General features: G+C 37.5%; 2 long non-coding RNA genes across 3 annotated transcripts in view; both read right to left on the minus strand.

Annotated features, from left to right (window-relative positions):
• The window catches only part of LOC105373523 (uncharacterized), a 43,330-nt gene extending 21,979 nt beyond the window's left edge, over positions 1–21,351 (minus strand). Inside the window, exons 1-3 of one of the 2 annotated variants that reach the window (XR_923128.1) lie at positions 21,227–21,351; positions 20,995–21,100; positions 20,084–20,166 (exon numbers count right to left, since the gene is read on the minus strand). This is a non-coding gene — a long non-coding RNA (uncharacterized LOC105373523). Of the gene's footprint in view, positions 1–20,083; positions 20,167–20,994; positions 21,105–21,226 lie in introns of both variants that reach the window. The other variant, XR_923127.1, reaches the window with a different exon arrangement.
• On the minus strand, positions 7,133–11,333 carry LOC105373522 (uncharacterized). Its single transcript, XR_923126.1, has 3 exons — positions 11,252–11,333; positions 8,820–8,966; positions 7,133–7,326 (listed from the first exon to the last, which is right to left on the minus strand). It is a non-coding gene; the product is annotated as an uncharacterized LOC105373522 (long non-coding RNA).
• Positions 21,352–25,185: the final 3,834 nt, after the last annotated feature.

A 25,185-nucleotide genomic window follows, 5' to 3' on the forward strand; every position in this document is an offset into this window, starting at 1 on the left:
GGCTTTGGGTGGATTTGGTAATAGATAATTTGGTACGCACACACACATTTATACACATATATGGTACATGAGAGGGAATTTTTTTCTCAAAACACATATATATATAATACACATATGCATCCTTCTGTACATGGGTTATATATATACACACATACGTGTGTGTGTATATGTGCAAATACATACACATATTAATTTCTCTCTATATATACATACATATAAAACATATACCAATACACCTATATCTATATCTATATACTTACATACATATGCAGAGAAATCAAATCTCTATTTGGAAATAAAAACGTACATGAATTCAACTGACTAGAAGCTCCTCTTCTTGACCACAACGTATTGTGACATTTGAACAGTTTAAATAACTTTAATAGTGTCTTTTGTTCTTTTCTCACTGAAATGCTCTGGATGGCTTATTTTGGGAACACATTTTATCCGAAAAATAATTGGTTGTAAAGATTATCCTCTGAGGCTTCCAAGAGAGTTATTTGCCTGATTTGTTTTCGGCCTCAGTACCTGACTGAGCATTTACATACTTTAATGTGAATTTTAAATGGCAGACCCCACGAAAACCCCATTTCTGAAACAATGCCCTAGTGACAAAATGCCCCCACTCTCCACTGTACCAGAAAGGCTTCCTCCCCATGCAACCCCTTGACTACCACCACCTGCGTGTGCCTTCCCCTCTCATTTTCTCTGGAGCCTGGTGGTTCATCCTTTGTACTCTCTCTGGGAGGAAAGCCTGCCTATTGGCTGACTTCTCCATCCATCAGTCATATTCCCCTTCTCCCATACTTGTATCTTAAAATTTAAGTATATTTTTGCATTATTCAATTAGACTAGAAGTTAATTGATGACAGACTGTGTGCCTAGGTCATCTCTGCACCCACCATAGTTCCCAGCTTAACATTTTAAAAAACTATGCTTAACAAATTACAGAAAAAACGAATGGCCCTGTCTAGGCAGAACCTAAGTGATATAGTTTGGATATTTGTCCCCTCCCAAATCTCATGTTGAATGGTAATCCCCATTGGTGGAGGGGGGTTCTGGTGAGAGGTGTTTGGATCATAGGGGCAAATCCTTCATGAATGGCTTGGGCCATCCCCTTGGTGATAAGTGAGCTCTTGCTCTGAGTTCATATGAGATCTGGTGGTTTAAACATGTGTGCCCCTCACCCCCACTCTCTCTTTCTCTCTCACTTGCTCCTGCTTTCACCATGTGACATGCCTGCTCCTGCTTCACCTTCCACCATGAATAAAAGCTTCCTGAGGCCTCTCCAGAAGTAGATGCAATTATTTTTTGGGTAAAATTTGTTCCCAAAATAAGCTATCTAAAGCATTTCAGTGAGAAAATAACAAAAGACATTATTAAAGTTTCTATCAACAGAAGCAGATGCTGTTGCCATGCTTCCTGTACAGCCTGCAGAACTATGAGCCATTAAATCTCTTTTCTTATAAATTGCCCATTCTCAGGTATTTCTTTATAGCAATGCAAGAACGGTCTAATACATATTTCACATTGCATGCCTGTATCAAAGCATCTCATGTAAGCCATGAAGATATGCACTATGTACCCACAAGTTTTCTTAAAAGAATGGTCTAATACACTGAACATGCATGGCAGCTATGTATTATCTTCAGTCAGGAGCTAAAAGCCATCTGTTACAGTGTCTGCAAATATATGATGAATTTATAATGTGAACATACAGAGCCCTTGTTATCTGCATGGTTATATAGGTGTGATAGAGTATTAGCGTTTCAATATATAGGCATGATTTCAAAGTAAATAGAATTGAATTGTAGGTCTTTATTCTGTTCAGCATCATATGTTAGTCCTTAAGGAAAGCTCATGGAAAGCAATCTTCAGTCCCCTCTGTCCATCTACAGCCCCCATATTCATACCAAGATGATGGGTGTGTCAAGACTCAAGGGCAAGGACATTATTGGATTATTGACTGGAAAATGCATCTTTTGCTGCACCTGATAAAAATGTTAGACTCTTGAGTCTGCAGGCCATAGCTTCTTTGGATTGCCTTAATCCCATTTTACTGTCACAATAAGAGAGATGTGGCGTGGCCTCCTGCCTGGAGGAACTTAAGGCCTTCGGTGGGTTGCTTCATAAAGGTTTTTTTCTGAGAACCAAAACATTTCTTTAGATTCTAAAATACTTAGTTACAGGAAAGTTTCTTAGAATTTCTTCACACCCACATAGCATGTATTTAATACACATTGTTAGACTTTTACATTTTGACTAATAGCTTGAAATTTTTAAAAAGTTAAACATTCATTAGCTCATGATAGCAAGATTATAGGGAAGAAAACGTTTACTTATAACAACGAATATTATAAATTTGGGGATTTCTTTGGAGTTCATATTTACCTAATAGTTCATATAATTAGTTGGGAAAAGGAGCAACTAACTTTTCAATAGACTCATATCAAGTTCTATTACTGTGTATGGCAGAGAATTCAGGTCATGAAATGCTACTGTGTTCTTTGAAAAATTCATTCCTTGAAAAAAACTTCTTACAAAGTCATATGCAAGGAAAGATCTGAAGCTGCTGGCAGCCCACCATTTCTATCTATGGCAACAAAAGACCACAAACCTCTGGAGTTGGAGAGGGATTCGAGTAATCAGGAACAAAACGACAAGACATCTACAAACTTACAAGTTAATTCAAGTGAGTCACCATGAGACACACACATGTACAAGATTTAGTCTAACACATCTGATGGCTTGATTGAATATTTAAAGGAAATCATGAAACAAAATTACAAAGGGAATTTATGGACACAATTTCTTTCTCAATTTCTCTTGAATTGAGAAAGGCTTTTTATACATGGTGCTATATAAATGAAGACAAACCCAGAGGGTCAATAATTATACCATGAAGCATGATCCAGAATGATAGAAAAAGAGCAATGTTTTACAAATCAAAAGAAATAAGGAAAAAATAAAACATTATTCCAGTCTGTTCCATGTTCAAATACAATTTCACAGCTTCATCATAGGGAGTCAGTAAAATGGCATCAGGGAAAGTTGATCCAGGTGTTTGAGATGATTATGAAATAGTCTTATTATTATTTAGAAACAAACAACTTTGTGTTCACAAGAAAATAGAAGGAAGATAGCTAGCTGCTTCCAGCTCCACTGTATTTTCAAGATTTCCTAAACATTGCTGGGTCCCCAGGAAATGGAATTGATTCTTGCAAACTGGAGTTACATACTACCATTAAGCGTCACATTATCTTGTATTGCACTGTCAAATCTCAGCCCCCACACATTGCCAGGACCAGCTTCACACAAGTATGGTTTGATGGAGCTTCATCCCCAAATCACGCTGTTCCCTGCCCTACCTCCCTGATGCCTCAGGGAAGGGGGACCACGAAGTGCTCACGCTTGCAGAACACAGAGCTGGGGAGAGCCAGGAGGTTGGTGCTCCTGGGGCCACCCTTGACTGACGGAAGACAAGGGCCAATGGATAAATTCTTCACCTCTCATCTGCCATAAGCTGATTCTAAGACACATTTTTCAAAACTCCCTGGAAGGTTAAACAATGAGTCACCCTTAGTGGTGGCCAACAACATCACATTTCACATAAACTTCCTTCTCACAACACAAGCAGTTGGATCAAGGTTTTCATGAGGGAGGACACAGATTAGATACATCACAGTTAGAATTTCTTTTGAAATTCTAACCCTCCAGCCACAAACTCTGAGAGAGAGGTCTCTTTTGTTCTTTAACAGTAGACATAGGTGGTACACTTGAGCCTCTCTACTTCTTCTCCTTAAGGCTACACTTTGACTTAGACAGACTCCTGAGTATGTTACATATACGTGGAGCAATGGTGATGGACGAGGGCTCTGCATATGTCCTGTTATCCAAAAGGGTTGCCATAAAATACAACCATCTCAGTGATATCTGCGTATTTTTGTTCATTTCTGTCAGCTCTTTACTTTTGTTCCAGGAAGCTAAATGTTTAGTTATTATTCAGTAAAACTCAGAAGTCATATGTTTTCAGAATGGTTATACAAGTAGTTTTTGTTTTGTGTTGTATTGTTTTGTTTTTAGCACAGTTTTGATTCCTGGTACATTTGTATTTCTTACTGTTCTTTGCATTCAAACTGTTTCCATGATTCCTGCTACATTTTCAACTTCAGGATTAAAGGATTTATAAAAAGGAGCAAACTTTTATCACAATGATGTTCTTATTGTGCACCATGCCAAATACTAGACATTTTATATGAATGTATAAAGATACGCTGGCACTAGGTTACAGAGCTAGGAGCGTGCACTTGATTTTTGGTTTCTGAACCAATAATTAAAGAGTTTGGATGTTATTTCCATCCTTACAGTATGACAAAAAGGCTAACAAAATAAAAAGCGACTCCCCTTAGATCCACTGGCGAACTGAAGTCATAGGACAAATTGCCACCTTGAATGTTGAAGAGACAGGTGGATCATAGCTTACTGGCAGAGAAATCAATGCCAGGGCCAGAAACTGGTAGGAACACTTGCAGAAGATTTGACTAACTGTTGGGAATGGTGTGCAGACTAGCTTGAGAGATAAAAATGCTGGGGGGTGGAGGGGGGTGTCACACGCTCAGCAAAGACCCCAAAACTGGATGAGTTTCACCTCAAGAAATCCACCCAGGTTTTTACTGTGAAGAATAGAAAAAGATCCCCACTGACAGGGAGAGGGGAAAGGTAGCCAGTTGACATATACCTAGAGTGTTCTCTTCTCCTTAAAAAAGGCCTTCCCTCAAGAAAATCTATTTCACCAGAGTTTAACCAACATGCAGTTACCCAATGTTGGTACTCAATACCAAATACCTGACTCTAGGCCACTCTAACCCATGATTTGAAGAAGGGAACTGCCCAACTCCAGCTCCTTCTAGCCTTCGACATGGAGGAAGGGACATATCCAACTCAGAATAAGTAAAAGACTGAGAACCAATAAAGGATTATAAAACACTTCCCCTCTCTTCCCACCTTCTGACCCTTCTACAGGCTCCTGTATAATGCCAAGGAGTTTCATTAAAAGAACTGTCCAGCTCAGAGTCTATTTCAGATGGAGTCTCTAATAAACCCAAAGACCAAAATAAGGACATTAGAAAAAATTTTAGTCTCTGACATTACAGGAACAGCAAACAGCCAACAGAGACTAAATCCTAGTCAGACAAACATGAAACCTCACACTAAAGACCTGTTTAACCCCAGTTCCTTATACCCAATACGTCCTGTTGGCTTTTAACAAAAACATTACAAGTCGTGGTAAAAAGAAGACAACACAGTCTGAAGAGACAAAACAAGCACAAGAACCAGACTGAGATATGGCAGAGATCTTTGGAAGTATCAGACCAGGAATTTTGAATGATTAATTTGCTATGGGTTCAAATGGAAAAAGTGGAAAACATGAAAGAATAGATGGATACTGTAAGCAGAGAGATGGACACTCTAAGAAAGCAAGTCATTTACAACATAACAACACTTTTCTGAGACTTACTAGGAAGTAAAAGAATCATTCTTGCTGCCAGCATGGTAGCCACCAGCGACCTTTGCTGACCCAGTGGAGTTATGGACTTGTGGGAGCCGTTTCTTTATGGCAGGTGAACTCCCGCCCACCCGGCTCCAGCCACATGAGGGAATGTTCCAAGATATTTTATTATCAAGAGTTGAGATATCGGCCGGGCGCGGTGACTCACGCCTGTAATCCCAGCACTTTGGGAGGCCGAGGCGGGTGGATCATGAGGTCAGGAGATCGAGACCATCCTGGCTAACAAGGTGAAACCCCGTCTCTACTAAAAATACAAAAAATTAGCCGGGCGCGGTGGCGGGCGCCTGTAGTCCCAGCTACTCGGGAGGCTGAGGCAGGAGAATGGCGTGAACCCGGGAAGCGGAGCTTGCAGTGAGCCGAGATCGCGCCACTGCACTCCAGCCTGGGCGACAGAGCGAGACTCCGTCTCAAAAAAAAAAAAAAAAAGAAAAGAGTTGAGATATCTGGCTCACGCCTGTAATCCTAACACTTTGGGAGGCTGAGGTGGATCACTTGAGGCCAGGAGTTCAAGATTTGCCTGGGCAACATAGGAGCCCCATATCCACCAAAAAAAAAAAAAAAAAAAAAAAAAAAAAAAAAAAAAAAAAAAAAAAAGGAGAAGAAAAGAAAAAAAAGAAAATTTTTACAAAAAGAAATACCTGCAAGAAAAAGAGATTAACTTCTTGTTTCCCATTTGGAGTTATTTTATGGACACTGTAGCTCTTGGGGTTGACCCATCATTGAAGGTAGATAGGTGCCATGCCAGACCCCTATTAACTTCAGTAGGAATGGCACCAGGTTCAAGAGGCAGAAGAGACCCAGGGCCAGCAAAGGAGACAAAGGATTTTTTAAGCAGGAACCTTACATACAGGGATGGTCCAGTGACAGCGGGCTGGACAGGAGAACTGTAAAGTCTTGCAAAAAGAATGCAGTTTATATAGCATTTTCACTTAGAACCCTCTCCCTAAATCTCGCAACTGAAAACGTTCATTTAACCAGAAGCAAAGGACCTCAATCCCCTGTATGGCCCATGTTCCACAAGACTGGCAGAAGGTTTCGATGTTCCTCATAGATAAGGAATGGATCTCTGAGTTGGCCATTTCCATATTCTTTAGCTTGGAATTCTGAACACATATTCAGGTGTGTCTGCCATACAGGATCATTCTCAAGGTATGCTTAAGTTATTGCTGTCAGGTGCCTCTGCCAAATGCTAGGCATGAGCCATCATTTTAGTACCCCACCTAAGAGGCTTTGGGACATGGGGCCAGTAGTAGGAAGAGGGAAGGGATAGGAGATGTCCAACAGAGTTTCATCTCCCACGTCAGGCACCTTGAAGTGCAATAGCTCCTCTGAAGAACTTACACATGAACCCTCCTTAAATGTCTGGCACAGAGGACATCAATAGTCTATCAGTGGGAATCAGAGACCACCACCAAAAAAAGTCAACTAATTACAGAGACTTGTTCTTTTCTCTCTTTTTTCATCCCATCCCAACACATAGAAATAACTTGTCCTTGGAGAGGGAATATAGGGAAGGAGAGGTCTTCCAGAGGGAGATCATACCATTCTCCAAACAGTCAGTATTTCAGCTCAGCTTGATCTTGGCATTTTGGTTGAGAAACAAAATTAAGCCCTGTGAGCTGTAGGGTCCATGAAAATGTCTTGCTTTGTCGATCTGTGGCGTGCAGGCTATTCCAGCATCCCAGCTCTCCGGTTCTCGTCTCTCCTCTCCATATTAGGCATAGGGGCACACAAACTCACTAGACATCCTGCCAGAACTCCAAATGGGAAATGAGAACTTAGTCTTTCCTTTTAGACTAATGTTTTAAGTCAAAAATGATTTGAGACTCAAAGTAATCTGAAAGTTGACAGACCCACCCGAAATTTCATTAAGAGACTAACAGCAGAGATCTAAGAGCAATGTTACAAACACTGATTGGAGAAAAGTCAACTCTCTTAACCTTGATACTTCTTCAAGCACAGATGGGACTATTCACCAGTTGTAAATGTTATGAAATTTAATCCTTCTAACATCCTTGTGATGCCTACATTCTTATTTCTACTTTTTGAAGAATATGTGACTGAAGTTTAGGTTAGTTTAAATCACATCCCCAAGGTCCCACAGCTAGAGTAGATGGAATGTGAACCTCAGGTACTTCGGTTTCAGAGCCCCTATTCCTTCTACCATATTCCATTGCCTTCATAGAGAGTAGAATTTGGTAACCTTCTAAACTGGTAACATTCCAGTTGAAATTTAGCATGCTTTGTGTGAAGCCCTACACAAAGAATGCTACAATGCTTTATGAATTTACATCACAAATTGATAATTATATTATTTCTAAGTTTCACAAATCCCTTAGGTTTTTTCAAGGAGAAATCAATATTACTTTACACTATCTCTAATTGTATTTGTATAAATAATGTTATCAATTACAATCCATATTTTAACATTTTTTTTTAAGGATCCATTCTAATTCGGGGTCATTTTAGCTACTGCTCCTTAATCTTTCTCACTAAGGAACACTAAACCACAAAGTGGTAGTTTGGAGGATCCTGCTATTTCAGATCCCCTTTCCTTTAATTTGCATGATCTTGCACACAGAACATTGTAACATCTATTGTTATTACTACTGAATATCAGTAATTTTGCTCTTTCTATTCTTCCTCAATGTTGTACCATTAATTTCCCACTTATTCTTAAGTTTTCAAAATGCATCTCACAAATACTCACACGCTCTTCCCAAATACCAGGAAATCAGGCTGCCACTGACTCCCCCATGCCTACATTTTCTACCACCACCCCACCCACCCGTATGTCTTTCTTTCATTGGAATTATTTCAAACTCTACTTTGTGGCCAGGAAATATAATCCCAGAATGTCACGTGAGTGGGAAGAGGCTGAGGATTTTGCCTTTGAGAGGCTGAGTTAGCCCCTGAGGTACACATGAGCATAGTGTCATTCTTATTTTTATTTTGCTCAGAGAAGGTTAATGTGTCTCTTCCATCCAGCTGAAGTTCATTTAACTGCATGTGAGGCTATGGAAATGTTGGTAGTGACTGACCATTGTATCCATTCTTTGCCCTCGACTTCTTGACACACATCATTCAGGCTGCGGTTTTAAACATTCACATAAAACAGCTCTTGCTTTACAAAGCAGCAGCCTGTTTTCTTTTGTATTACCCTGTTTGTATGAAGATCAGAATCTCAGCCCCCTGCAAAATACTGAATATTCCCCTTTTGATTTTACTGCCAGGGCAAGAATGATAGTACCTGTTTTTGCAAATTTCCTCATTCATGCAACCATCCAGGATGGACTAGTCATTAGTCTGATGTTTTCAGGGAACTGGTCTAAAAGGAGAAGGAGAAGCCTGTGTCTTGAATGAGGGGCCACATTGGGAGAGCGAAGGAACTTTGAACCTGGATTGAGCACAAACAGATTTCTCAGAACCCTAATTTATTTTTATTTATTTATTTATTTATTTTTGAGACGGGGTCTCACTCTGTCTCCAGGTTGGAGTACAGTGGCACGATCTCAGCTCAAAACAACCTCCGACTCATGGGCTCAAGCAATCCTCCCGCCTCAGCACCCCCAGTAGCTGGAACTACAGGCAGGCACCACCACACCTGACTAATTTGTGTGTGTGTGTGTGTGTGTGTCTGTGTGTATGCGTGTGTTTTTTGTAGGGAAACTGGGTTTTGCCATGTTGCCCAGGCTCCAGAACCCAAATTTAATGAGCTTTGATCAAAAACAAAGTTTACATCTATACCAAAAGTCAAGGGAGGAACTAACTCTTCCTCTTTGCTGTTCTAAATCCAGGAAATCAGCTTATAAATTGTCAATATTAAGCCAATTTAAAAAAATTCACCTTACTTATATCCCTTCTTACTTGCATTTAACTTGTCCATAGGGACAAGCCAAATTTTGTTAGCATGTTCTGGTCTTTAAAGGAGCATCCTCAGGATACTGATGAACAGATTTCTTTTTGGCCATATATTTGTCATGAAAATTGCTGAGACTGAACTGACACAAGATTGGTAAACACCTCCATAATAATGTGAAGGTGAAATGGGGAGAAAAACTATAGCTTTGCTATGACTTTGATGGAAAGCCAGCCTCCACCCCACCCCACCAATCAACTAATACTAGCAAATGAAAATGCTCAGCATATGCTATGAAAAAAATGAGTATGGTTTTCAATTCCCACCGATGTCATTTCTGAAACACTTGGCATAAGACCTATGAGACTGGGAGGCTGTTATTTGGTTTTACCCATTCTGAAAATTACAGGGAGAAAATCATAGGCTGGTATCAGGTGTCCAAATCTTCATCTCAAAGGGTGAATCATAAAACTATTATAAAAAATGTATCCTGCTGCAGTGACAGCTGTCATCCCAAATCTACCCAGTGCAGAGAGCTGTGGTGACAGTCATTAATGCTTTAAATGTGAGATTAGGTTGCGGTGTTTAATGGTGTGGACAAGAAACTTTTTTAGAAAGTTATTGGAAGTAAAACATCACCCCTTTGATAATGGAAAAAACAGCCTAAGGATATGAGATCATTTATGTAATTATGCAAAGTATTGTATATTGATATTATTGTGTGGTTTTTGTGTGTCTTTCTTACTTGTGAGTAGGTGAAGTTTAAATTAAAGAGACGACTCATTTTGTTACTGTTGCTTTTGATGTTGGCAAATCTGTCCTTAACTACTATTTTAGAAAATGTGCAAAGTATCATTATGACAAACACAAAGGATCATAGAATTTTGAAGAAGAACCTGTTTCATATGAAAGGAAACTGAGGTCAGAGAAGAAGTAAATCTCAAGCTTACATTTCTATACTCAGTTAGCTGCAGAAGAAAGACTAGTACTTAAGTTTTCAATGTTTTGTTTGGTAATGAGTCAAATATTACTATGATAACTGGAGCAAGGCCTAAAATATTTTTGTTCTCAGCCTTTGCTGTTGTAATTTCTACTACATTAGGACTTTGCCTGCAAACATTTGGTGCCCCTTGAATTATGACAGAAAACTCAGAATGCCGATGGTATGCATTCTGATTTTTTAAGCCAAAAAGTTCAGAAACTGCAAAACTGAATCTCCAAGTCAACTCCCATAAAATCAATCACAAAGACAAATCAAACAGGAGTTAGGGGAAGCCTCTTCTATTGAAGTGAACCACATCAGAATGCCATGGAATTAAAAAAAAAATCATACAGAATACCAAGGAGTTAAATAAAACAGCACTGTACTTTCTCACTCCCATCCCCTCCTGAAAATGCTTTCTTACATTCCCCGTGCTTAGAAAGATCATTCCAAACTTGACAGGTCATTGACTGCAGTGGTCTGAATGTTTGTATCTCCCCAAAATGTGCATGTTGAAATCCTAACCCCCAAGAAGATAGTACTAAAAGGTGAGGTCATTGGGAGGCAGTTATGTCCTGGGGCCACAGCCTTCATGAATGGGATTAGTGTTTCTAGAAAAGCGGCTCCAGAAAGCTCCCCAGCCCCTTCCACCATGTGAGGGCATCTATGAACCAGGAAGTAGGCCCTCACTTGATGCTTAATTGGATTGTGCCTTGATCTTGGACTTCCCAGCCTTTAGAACAGTGAGAAAGATTTGTTTTTGTTGTGTCTAAGTTGTTTATAAGGATTGTGTTACAGCAGTCCAAACCAACTAAGTCACTGACATTCTGAGATAATTTACCTTTCCTGAACACTCTGTTGCATCCTTCTTGGAAGCATTTCTGGAGCAGAGCACCCACTCTCACCTCTTTGGTCAGGCTGTTTATCCAGCAGCTTCTAGAAAGTAGAAGAGCTGTAATAAATCACAGACTTTTGATGATAAAAGAAAGAAAGAAAAAGAATCACCTTGGAGCTGGATAGATTGAGTATTCCTACACAGAACCAGACATCCTCATTCCTTCATCTTTCCCACCTTCCAAAAACCTAGCACTCATTCCATCTCTAGTGGGTTTCCTGAGATCACATGCTGTCAATGCATTAAAACAAGACAAAAAAAACCCAAGAAACCATTTTTGTTACCTACACTGTGATCTTTGTATTAAACCATTTGAACATGAGTTATGTAAGGTCTGATTCCATAGGGTTTATTAAAGTAAAATTGTCTTAGCAAATCTGTCTGTTCCATTTGACTCTGAAGAATAATTGGTTAATGACAGAATAATTGCTTTGTTCAGACATGATTACTGAAGAAATCTTCCATCCATATGTTGCTGAATAATAGGAAATTCTCCAGTAAAGAGGGGACAATGATTAGAAGAAACAAGATAGCTCAAGAGAATATTCCCCAATGTGTTACTACATTTTTTTTTAAAACAGGACAACTCTAAGTAAGTATAGAGTTTCTTTGTACAAGCCTGGAAATGCCTAATAGGATTAAACTGTTTGCCGAAAAAGCACTAGGTAGGTTTCTTTGTCTTTCAAATCAAAGAACTGTGACTTCTAATACTTTATGTGACCATAATAGCTGTTTTCTATGCTAGTATCCTTTTTGTGACCTAATGTTATTCAGGTTGTGGTCTTAAAAGAGCTAAGCTGAACGTTGATAATTCTCCAAATATTCATCAATATGTTTGGTTAAGTTTCCTGCACAGGAATTGACCACAGGACAACCTGATAGGTTAGACCTTTGAGCAGAGGATAAAGGACACTGGATATGTATCAGTTTTACTTAAATTTTAAATGGCCTGCAGTGGCAAAGTGACGACTTGCTATATTTCAAATTTCTCAAAAATCAGCTACAATCAAATGGGAAAACAGTTTGTTTCAATAGAGCTGTTTTGGTTATCTTAATTACTAAATGCAAAGATACATTAAGACGCTCTAAAGAATAGAGTTTGCCTTTTATCCTGAGGGTTCACTCATTCCTACTCCCCACCCAAATAAAACAAAAAACACAATTTCAGTTTTAGTTTCACATTACAAGTAAAAAAATACCAAACCAGTTCATTGCCTTAAATTCATATATGGACTTTTCTGCAAACGACTAATACACTATTTTTTAAGGTAGAGCTATATTTTACTTCTTTAGTTATCCTGCACAAGTAATAACTGACTTGAGCTGAGCACCTATGAATAGAGCTGAAGGTTGTAGTAAAATAAAATTACAATTAAGATTATTTGTTTGAAGAACAAAGCATTATGGACACCACTCAGAGCAGTTCACTCTAACTGGGAATCAGGGAGTTTTCACAGAATACAAGCTATTTCAGCTGTGTTTTGATGAATAAGTAGGAGTTCATCCAAGTGAGCAAGAGGCAAGTCCAGTGTCGATAACAGCCTGTGTAAAGATGTAGAGTCATTCAAGGATGCAGCAGGTTCAAGAAGCTGATAGTTTGATACAGCCAGAGTGTAGCTCTGTGGAATTTTCATATTTAATATGATTATTTGAGGCACACAGGACAAATAGAAAAAGCGTGCTTGAGCTCAGCAACACGGGTGGAGTTTAAAACATAAACTGGGTGTAATCAGTGTGTAGATATTAATTGTTACCGCAAGACTCAGTGAGAACACCTAGAGGCCGAGCACGGTGGCTTATGCCTGTGATCCCAGCACTTTGAGAGGCCAAAGCAGGAGGATGACTTGAGGCCAGGAGTTCAACACTAACATGGACAATATAGAAAGACTCTATTTCTGTAAGATAAAAAAGAGCACATAGAAAGAAAAGAAGATGGAAGATCAAATCCAAAGAACCCCAATATTTATTTAAGATTCATGCACAAGAAAAAAAAAACAGCGACACTGGTAAAAAGTAAAATGAATCAAGGATTAAACACATAAAGAGAAATAAGTTTCATGGGTGTCAAAGGAGATGAAAGGTTGTCTGAGAATATGAGAGAAGGGAAGAGGTGACACAGGAGAAATACTGAAAAGATGCCATCAAATCTGGTATGTTGGAGGTTAATGATGTTAGTACCAAAAGAATTTTAAGGAAAGGTTTTGAAATACTGCCCCAAAATTATTTGACAAGCCCCCCATCAAGTATGGTAGCATGAAAGCTCTGTTGGCCTAGGAAACTGACAGCTCCCACTTCCTGTCTCTTGAATGCTTGCTCTTGGCACACAGACATCATGCTCTGAGCCAGCCCAAGAAGCCCATGGGAAGCCAAGCCCCAACTCCCAGCCATGTATAATCCCTTGCATAAAAGATCAAACAGCTAACAGTCTAGTCACCCTACTGAAGAGAAATGAGACATTCCTGTAGAGCCCTGCCCAAATGGCAAATTCATGATAAAAATAAATAATTGGTATTGTTTTAAGACAATAGGTCATAAGCAGGTTTATTATGCAGCAACAGTAGCTAGAAGAGCTGATGACAATGTTACATGGGGATTTGTTTTCAACTAGGTTGGTAATAAAGAGGAGTTGACTAGGACAGGGGTTTGAAGAAAGGCAGGATAGACATGAAAGTTTTTAAGGATTTAGAAGCCTCGAGCTAGATTGCAGAGGATACCTAAGAGAGTAAAGATTGAATATACAGAAGAAAGTTGCTGTTGTTCAACTGAAGGGAGGAGGAAATGCAAAGGGATGGGATGGAATCTAGAACACAAGTAGTTCCAGAGTTAGAGCTAGTGTTCAGCTTCAGGAACGGATAGACATTTAGAAGGACTAGGGATAAACTTCCTGCTAGAACAAAAGAGGTAAGAGTAATTGTAGATTTTTAAACAAGAACCCTAGTAGTAAAACAACTATTGCAAGAGTCCTTCAGTCAAAATTTTCTAAATAACTTTAAGCAATTATAAAGAGAGCTTCTCTTTTAGATTATAAGGGCATGGGGCATATATTATATTTTATTTATCTTTCTCTTCAACTTTTAACCCTTGCTGTCAAGCTGGGAGAGTAAGAACATTGGAATATTTGGAGTACAACAGCATAGACTAATATGGAGTAGCATAATGTTGGATGTATGCAGGTTGACAATAATTTATGGAAATAATTTTAAGAAAACAGATGCTACCCATTGGGAAAGCCAGGAAACAAAGGTGCATTTTTCCCCATTGCTATACAAGTGAGATTTTCTGGGGTGCAAAGAAATAAAAGCATTATAGCCTTTAAAAGGATTTTATAACTTTGACACCCAAAGAGGATATTAGCAAGAAATCTAGAGATGTAAATGCATCTTCAAAAAATTCCTACTCTATGCACTGAGTAAGAACTTCCTAGAAACTTTAAGTTAGAACAACTCTCAGTTCCTAGGTGGTCAAAGAAGGAGCTAGGGATGGTGAAATATGCCAAGAACAGGGGTTGGCAAATGATGTGCCCCAGGTCAAATCTGGCCCAATACCAGTTTTTATATAACCCAATAGTTAATAATGTTTTTAAATTTTAAATGATCGAAAAAAAAATAACAGGACAAGATTAATATTTCATGCCAGGTGAGAATTATATGAAATTCACATTTCAACGTCAATAAATAGTTTTAGTGGTACAACGGCAGAGCTGAGTAGTCACATTAGAGATCATATAGGTTGCAAAGCTTAAAATATTTGCTACTTTCTGGTTTTTCATGGAAAAATTTGGCAGCCTCTGAACCAGAGGATCCTTTATTTTTTATTATTCTTGCTTTGAAATACATGTATTTCCCTTCGTATCTGTTCCCGTGGAGTAAAGTTTGATTAACATTAACTTATGTTAAAATTCAAGTTTGGGTTTTTTTTTTTTCTTTTTTTTTTAGGAAGAGAAATGGAATTTTTTAGTGGTTATTAATTTCTCTGTTTCTGAAAACACTTGGAAAAGTCCCAGGTTCTTAGTTTGTGTCTACCACTGGGCTGATATCTCCTCAGCAGTTGCACAGACTGCAAGCATATGCTCTTAGTGGAAACATTTTTCTAAATCCATTTCAGAAGTATTTATTGAGCATTGTCCTAGACATTGGAAGTGTGGCAGAGAAAAGGACTGCCAAAGTCTCTGTCATCACAGAGGATATGTTCTTATAGTGGGAGGCAGCAATAAAAAGTAAACAGATGAACCAGATAAGTTGAGATTATTGTAAGTCATATATATATATATAATGAATGGGGGTGGAGAGTGATTTGGTGGGGATAGGGGGACTTATGGAAACAAGGAAGGGCTGTCCAAGGAAATTATCCTTGAGCTGAAGCCTGAATGAGAGAAGGAATCAGCCATGCACAAAACCCAGGGAAGAGTGTGCCAGGCAAAGCAAGTAGTAAATACAAGGTCTGCAGGCCAAGACCAACTTGTGGTCTCTGAGGAAGTGCAAATGCAAGACTCATTTAGTGAGGAAGTGGAGAAGGTGGTATGAAGGAAAACAGGGCAGGGGAAATAAGATTGATAAATAGGGACAGACTTTTAAGTTATTGGCTTTTGGGTCATAGTCAGAAGTTTGAATTTTATTCTAAATACAACAGGAAGCAACTGGTAGACTTTTAAATGGGTGGAAGGTGTGACGTATGATTACATTTTCAAAAAAGCCATCTGGTTGCTATGTTTGGACCTTGATTTCATGATTGCAAGAGTGGAGGCAGAGACTATTGGGGCTACTGCAGAAGGGGGTGAGAAATGGCAGCTGTGGGGCCCAGACAGATGGTGAAAAGAGGGAAAACATGAGCTATGTTTTGGAGGTAAAGCTGAAGTCTTGAATGTAGACATGTAAGGTAAAATAAAAGGAGTAAAGTTAGAAAGAAGCAGTGTTTTGAAAATGATTCCAAGCCCGTATATTTCGGATATATTGAGATAAAAGTCAGGCTAAGGCTCGGAGGAATCCAGCCCTAGAAGTGCCTGAAATCACTAGGGTTGGAGAATGAAAGTGAAGTTTCTGTAGGTAGACTGGGAATAACCTCAGCATCTAAGAGAAAGGAAAGGGTCCTGGGGTAGATGCCATGGAATAGATCCTGCAGCTAGAGGTGAAAAACAAAACAAAACAATCAAAGGCACTAGCACAGGATAGCGGCAATTCATAATGGAACAACATCTTGAGATTAAAAAAAAGTAACACCAAACACTTTGAGGTCTAAAGAAACCCCAAATTAGAAAAGCAATCAGGTTTTTAGTTTTAGTTTTATTTTTTTAGCGGTTTATTGTTTGTTTGTTCATTTGTTTTACAGGAGAGAGACTCGCAATCGACAGCATAGGTACCATCTTTTGCGTTGACAGCCGCTGATGGACACAGGCTTATGTTCAATTCATGTGACATGGAAAGTTAGACAAAGTTTAAATACATTCACCGATAACAAAGTCCAATTTTCAAGGTTGGTAAGGACAACCAGGTAGTCTGGCAGAGGGATAATCCTATTTCAAAGGCTCTAGTCCTGATGCTGGCTCCCACATGCTCAGATTCACACACATGAACATTCATTGCCTACATGACACTTGTGTAAGTCTTGCAAATTCTCTGAAGCTTAAGAGTGGTTGAAATTTGAAAATAAAGCCATTAACTATATAACTTTGATTTATAACTATATAACTTTGATTTATAACTATATAAATTTTAACTATATAAGTTAACTACATATATATGAGTTAATTATAAAATCATGTGACTATAGGATTTTAAACTATATAAGTTTTCTTATATCACACTACATATAGTTTGTAAGTTTAAAAAATTTTAAAGAGAATTCAAAGGTTTTACTTTTGTATAAAGGGCATGAATTTTGACAATTTCTGAAGCTCTACTGGAATCCAAATTCCTCTATGGACAGGTAAGCTAAGTAAGGCAAAGTGAGGTTAGTGACTTGCCTAAGATCACAGAAACATTGAGTAGCACTTCTAGTACCCAAATCACAGGTTTTTTTCTTAAAAGTCAGATATAATTGTATATTTAACAGCAGAAAGAGAAACTTCCACCCAAAGTTGACCTCTTGCAACAGACAGAGCAAAGTGCCACAGTGTACACACAATGTTAAGAAGAGTCTGATTCCAGTAAGATCCTGGACTAACAAACACTTATCTTAGATATATTTGACACTATAATCAACCTCCTTGAGGAAGAAAAAGAGTACTTAGAACGAAAATATTTAGTTAAAATAATTCTTGGGTTTTTTTCCTAAATTTCTAAATTTCTTAAAATATTTCCCTCTAGATCCCCCCAGCCATGACAGCTAACTTTTTCATTGTGATTCCACATTTCCTGGTCTTCGTCTGTTCCAGTTAAGGGCTGGCAAATGCAGAAAAGGTCTTCAAGGTTTTCAAGATGGTTTATTTAAAAGTTCTAGGTGGATAATTTATGTCCATCCTCAGTGTATTCACATCAATTTCCCCACCCCACCCTCACAATATGACAGGCAAAACTCTTTTATTGCAACAGCATTTTTTGGCATAGCAATATGCTTACTGTTTTGTTTATAGCAAAAAAACAAAAAAAAAAGAAAGAAAGAAGAAAAAAAGAAAAGGCTTAAAGTGCTACTTTTCTTCTCTTCTTTTAGAAGCAATCAATCTCCCTCTTACTGAGCTCTTACTATAGGCAACCACTATCCAGAATTATACCACATCAGCTGTGTGGGAAAAAATGCACGCATTGTTTCTTTTTTTCATGAGCAAAGTAGTATTTGCCAGTTAAATCCCCAGGTATTTAGCTTTCCAACAGTCAGATATAAAATTAGCAAATGAAACATCTGTTCCTCACTATTATTTTATAATCACATTAATTGGCAGATGTCTTTAGGTAACAGAGAAAAGCATATCAGCCATTACTTGTATTTCCATGGGGTTATGCTTGTGGCCACTGGATATCACACACCTAAAAGACCATCTCAGCAAGAGATCAAGGTGACACTGGACTCAGGAGCTGGCTTTCTCCCTACTCAAAGCCTCCTGACAGTAGGGCCAACTGCCCACTGACAAGTGCAAACCGGATGCCCTGTTATATGTTGTGGTGGAGAACCTTACCCTCACTGCTGCCAGGTTTGGGTTTTCAATTATCATGTAGTTTGCACAAAAGCACTGTGCCAATTCAATTACTGCCTGATTAATGGAGTGTTGCAGGTTTATTTCAGGGGTCTAGCTATCTATTAATTAGCATATTGGGGCCTATACTCTACTGTTTTGTCCTGATATGCTTTGAAAAGTCCCCAGTGCAATTAAAAACTCTAATATGCTTTAAATAGTTATTTGAGAAAACACATCCAGACTTTTTTAAACTCCTCAGGGATTGTTAAGCACATCCAGATTTATTATAAGGCATCTAAAGTTTCTTTAAAAGCACATTCTTCTTTCCTCTACTAGGTTCTGGGGTATATCTACAGTAGAGCTCCTGTTTCCCAGATCTGCGAGAGGAAGAATCCTCAGAAAAGATCTTGTTGGAGCATTTCGCACGGTTTGCTTCCCTTCCTTAGTATCTACTGGAGTTTGCTTTGAATCGTAAACTTGATCAGGGGTTGAACGTAAACTGGAACCTTTCAAAGTCCCTAGATTGAGTTTCGTTGGTATTCAATTAAGACAAGCAACTATGGACGAATTATGCACAATATTACATTTCCTTGCCTCTCCTACCTTTCTTTCCTTTTGCTGGAGATTGTCATTAAGACAATGCTCCCCAGTGGGCAAATAAAGAGCCGCTTATTAGTAGCCACTGTGAGCCACTGTTAGGTGTTGAGTACAGATGGGCTAGGAAAACATATAGGCTCTTTCATTAATCCTAGAAAATTCCAATGGGCAATTCAAGATGTTACACTTGTTGCACTTGCTTGCAATAGAAGACTCATGGAGGATAAGACTGGAATAGGAGATTGTGGCTGCCTGTTAAGATCCAGGCTAACCCTGTGTGTTGTATCTTTGTCATTGAAGAACACTGATTATGTTGTGACACCAGAAGTCTGAACAATAAGTGTTATGCATAATATAGTAAGTGGTATATGCATATAAAATATGTGTGATATATATAAATATGTAACATGACAAAATGTATGTAATATATTAATATATAAAATATAGGCAATACATTGAGAATCTGGGTCTGTGGTCAGTAGGTGAGATAACTGGGAATTAGAGAGAGCAGGAAAGAACAGTGGACAGTGAGGAGGTCATTTCAAATGCAACAATGGACTGATGAAAAATAACACAGAAGCCAGGTGATAGATTTCCCGACATATTAAGATATGAGCCAACAGTTGTGTCATGTGTCACCCAGCATCTAACCTAAGTGTCTCCAACTACAAGATGGGGATAATGGCCTGAAGACTACAAAACATAATGTAATATTTGCCAATATTTTCCTCCGTGGTAGAAAGAATGTTACATTACATGCATCCAGTACAGCACAACTATTTCACAGTAGTGATTCTATAAAATCTCCACACACAGCAGTTCTCCAATTATCTTTGCGAATGAATGAAGTATTTACCACCATAGGTCTAACGGATTTAAGGTCTAACTGTATCCAACACTAGGCTTGATACAAAACACTAGGATTAATACAAAACAATTACATGGATACAGTTTCCCCCATACTGTTAGTCCATACAGGAACTGTTAGGGTTTTCGAAATCAGCAGAACCAATAGGAAATATATATAAAAATATATATATGAAAGGGGAGATTTATTATAGGAATTGACTCACAGGATTATGAAGCCAAGAATCTGCCATCTGCAAGCAGGAGAACCAGGGAAGCTGGTGATGTAATTCAGTCTAAGTTGAAAGGCCTGAGAACCAGAGGGAATGCTGATGTGAATTCTGGGGTCCAAAGACCTGAAAACAGGAGCTCTGATGTCTGAAGGCAGGAGGAGACACATATCTCAGCTTAAGAAAAGAAAGAGCAAATTCGCTCTTCTTCCACTTTTTTATTCTACCGGACTCTAACTAGATTGAATGAGGCCCACCCACACGGATGAGGGTGATCTTCTTTAGTCAGTCTACTGATTTGAATGCTAATCTCCTCTGGAAACACCCTCACAGTCACACCCAGAAACAATGTTTTACCAGCTATTGGAGCATCTCTTAAAGCAGTCAAGTTGACACATGAAATTAACCAACATGCTAAACTAGCTAACGTGACAAGTATGCACACAAAAGCCAGCAGTGAGGTAAACAGAATAACATCCACATGTTGAATTTTCCAGTCTCCCAGAATTATTGTACCTTAAAAACATTTGCAGGAGATTAATAGGTAAAGAGGTCACCTATCTCCAAAAACACAACACCTAATTGCGCACTTATTTATTCATTTCTACATTGATATATTTAGCTATCATCACTGGGTCCCTATACTAACGACCATGTTAAGCACTGTACATGTTCTAAGTGCTGTTCGCAACTAGCCTGGCTTTATTACTGTTTCTCTTATCTCCATGAAAGGATATCTGTCATAAATTACTATTTCCTAAGAAATGGATCCAACCTTTAGCTTTCAGAAATTTGTTTATTGTATAAGGTATAGAAGGACAGTTAGAAAAAATGAATAAGATTCATTTTCTATAATTCAGAGCTTATTACATTTGTTAAAGAAATCCCTGCTTCCCCAAAATACCTACTCACTATAAGTAGAGGCATAAACATTCCAGAAACTATCTACTTTTCCTGCAGGTAACTTCAGGATACGAATGTGCCAATTTTGGAGTCATCTGCATCTTGAAAATGCTACCTTGAGGCAAGAAAAAGAAAATGTTTATGTCCTAAGAAAAGCAGTAGGATTGTTAAATGCATATTTTATAGATCAGGAAATAAGGTCTAGGTCTGTCATTTTGAATAAAAGCAAGTTTCTACCCTGTGTTACTATTGTTGGTTCTCTCTGGCTTTTCCTCTTGAATGGTGAGAAACTCATTCGGATTCAGTCCACAGGGGATTATGACATGAAGCATTTGCTCCTGGGCAGTGAAGTGTAAGCAAGTCCAAATGTTTAGCATGGTGAAGGCTGAAGGATGTGGAGCCAACTACATCATATACACTGTAGGCTCCAGGGCAGTACAGCCCATGTGACTTCATAATACCCAGGAGTTTGCAATCGCACAAGCTGGGAAAAAAGAGAACAGAACTTTTGGGGATGAGCGCATAACTTAGCAATGCTGAGGCAGTAAGTCAAAAGTTAGTGTTTCCAACTTCAGAAAATGTATCGTTTATTTTATCCTCCATGCTCTGAGATTCTGCATGTATATTTACATCACTGAAAATGAACATATTAGGATCACTAAATATCATGACTGATTTTTCCAATTTGCTGTGCAAACCTCCAAAGGATCTCAGCCATACATTACTTAACCTGAACTTTTGAAGTTTAGTATTATAAGAGAAATTTATTCCATATGCTTCACAGTTTATTGTGAATAAACATGCCTCCCACATTCCACAAAATACACATTTTTCTCACTTCCAACGTTTAAAAAATAATAAAGAAAGGGTCTTTTGAGAATGGTTGGAAAGTATTGAAAAATGAGTGGAAGATTTTTTTAGGTATTAAACAAACTATGTGATTTGAAAAACATATGCCTTGTATTTTACCCATTGTTCTTACAGGGAAATTCAATTTTCAAAACATGTTTTTCTAACAAATGAAAGTAGGGTCTAGGCAAACAAACAAACAACCTGGTTAAAGTAATAATTGTTCAGAACCGTTAAGAGAATACTAAGAACTTCAATAGTGTACAGGAAATCATATAACTAATAAATACATTTGAGTTTTGAAGCTTTATTTTGCTTCAAGATTGCAAATGTTTTGAAAAATACATTTCAAAGCAGAATGTTGAACCCTTTTTATTGCAAAATAGTGTCAACCTCCTTGATAAAACTGATTAACCCATTTCCTCCAAAACAATATTTTAAAATTTTTGATTGGGAATATTTCCTTTAGCAGTGTTCACATTTATTTGCTTAAAATCATTAAAATTCTTAAAGTAACTTTGAGTCAGTTATGTTAAATGCCATGTTTAATTATTTTACCTAAATTAAGTGGCTTTCTTTTGTTGTTTCTAGATGTTTTAAAAAATATTTAATTTGAAATGTCATTAGAGGACTTTTCTGTTGTCAAATGATCATAAGAATTTTTAAAACTATCATAATATTAAAAAACACATACTGAGTTTTCCTAATGTAGTAAAATATGAAGGCAATGATATAAAACACACTATCTGATCATTTTTCTGCTTTGAATTATTATAGGTCAACTTTACAAATAATATTTTATTTTGTCAACTAAAAATATGATTTTAAAAATATAAGCATTTCTGTGAAATTTCTTTTTGTACAGGAGAAAAATGAGCACATTTCTAGTTTTGCTCTATATGCCAAATTTCAGCCCAGAGAGAGTGTTTATGGTTCAGATATAAAACCTCAGAAATATAAATGTGAAGACAACCTTAACTACAGTGTTGCAAATGCAATGTTGTAATTTTGTATGTTAATCTATCAATACACGGCATGTGCAAACATATGTTTATAGACAGGAAGACAAGAATATACAAATAAGGAGATAAAATTCTTGTATCTCATTTGATGCTCTATAATTTCTATCAATGTATGAATGTTTTCTTTTTGTGTTATGATTTCATTTGAAGTTGACATAATGCGACTTGTGCTTATTTGCAAAGGCCTCATCACTAACATTCTCAAAGCTGATGCTGCCAGCCTGCTCAGAAGATGGGGAAGCAACTTTGCCTGCCGGGACCATTACAGCAGGCAACGCTAGGAAATCAGAATATTGTGCAATGGGAAACTTTGGAGTTTTTGTTTTTGTTTTTGTTTTGGTAGGCAGCACAGGTATGCATTCAATTTTATGAACACATCTGGTTTATCTACATTTCTAAATTTGGCCCTTAGGGTTCACAGCAGAAAATTTGTGGCAAAAGAAAGATAAAACGGTGCTTCAGCAGTCTTCTGCCCCGCTGAAGCAGCCCAGCTCATTTGCTAACCATTACGAAACTGAAGCGAAATTCAGGGACAAACAAGACAATTTATTTTTTGAAGAAGCCGCCTGTGCCTCTGTTGATGGCATGGTCCCCACCACATGGTCCTCAGCCAAAGATTAAAGAAGGTCTGAGGTTGTGTTTGCTTCTTTTCTTGTGTTTACTCAAGTTACAGCAACATTTTGCAAAACATTTAGGTGAGGTATGTTACGGAATTAGCAGATGGCTTTAATTTTCATTTGGGATAGTAAGGCATATTCCAATTTTCCTTACTAATGTGATGGATGAGTTTTAGGAAGGTTTAAAGTACTAAATTCAACATCGATAGTTGCAGAAAGAATGCAAATTTTTATTATTAAAAGCTAGTATCAGAGTTTTTATGAGCTTTTGGAAGAAAGGTTTAGGAAAGTATATGGTAGCAAGGTTTATTATTTTTCAAATTTTATTTCCAGCAGACAGAATCTTGAGGATAAAATTCTTAAAATGCATTTTGTTTTCTTGAAAAATATGTCTAAAATAATTAAAGTTGATTTTGGGCTTATTTTTCCATAATAAACCTGGCTTTTTTCCAATGATAAAAGAAATAGGTATGCACTGTGAACAATTTAGACCAATACTAAGCCTAAACAATAAGAATTAAATAATAATAGAATTCCATCCCCCAAATATGATCACCACACTAACGTGTTTTTTCTAACCTGTTTCTATGTACATATATACAACACACACATTTTAAGAAAATGGTATCATTCACTTTTTGTAACCTCTTTTACATTTAACTGTGTGAAAAATATTATACGTGGGGGCTTATGTTTATAAACATACACATGCCTCCATGGCAACAAATATAAATTTATATTCTCAACTTTATTTTCTAAATAAAAACTTATTTTATAGAGATACAGTTATTTAAACATTCCTCTATCATTTGATCTATAAGTTTACCTCAATGTCTTGCTATTGACATTGTATTCTAGTATTTTTTCATTCAAAAATAATTTATTGTTGATCTCTGTTTTTCACTTACAATCTTCTTCCTTGTCCCTATTTCTAATAAATAATTTGTCTTCTTCTGATTCATTTGTAAGGGTTTTAAAATATGATGATGATAAGACTTTATCATACACACCTGTCAATTTTCTTAAATTTTAATTATGGTGTCACTTTTAGTCACATATAATTTTTTTAATGTACTGAAATGTATCTGTGGCTTTTTATTATAATTATTGGGGGAAAAAAAGCCTTTCCATTTACACTTGTAAAATTGAAGTATTTTGACAGTTATCAGAAAAAAGTTCACTCCATTTACATATTGCTATTCATGTTAAATATAGTTTTACTAGTTGGTTCATTAACTCCAATAACAGTTTTATGATTTATTGTTTAATCATGTTCTTTGTCGTTTACAAGGATAGTGAAACTCACACCTAAAGTTAGCATTCATTTCCCAGATTATAAAATGAAAGATGTCTGTACAAAATAATTGTTAAAAAAGATACTTAGGATCTCACAAATCCCTGTAGGGTCACCTCCAGACTTCAGTAGTGTGGATAGCAAAATTCTTGTACCTCTTGGTGTATTCATTTAGCTATTTTTTTTTTAATTAACAAATATTTTCTGAGTGTCTAACAGGCACTGACCCAGGTATAAGCTACCTAGAAGCAAAGGAATGTGGACATGATACCTTTATCAATGAAGCTAAAATTATTGGTGATGGAAAGAATACTAAAATTAGAGTTACCAAAACAAAATAGTTGTAATTGTTGACAAGGAGAGGCAGGTCCTGCTTGAGATTATAATTGGGGAACTAACCTTAGTCTGGGGTGA

This window comes from Homo sapiens, chromosome 2 (assembly GCF_000001405.40).
Source record: "Homo sapiens chromosome 2, GRCh38.p14 Primary Assembly".
Lineage (NCBI taxonomy): Eukaryota > Metazoa > Chordata > Mammalia > Primates > Hominidae > Homo > Homo sapiens.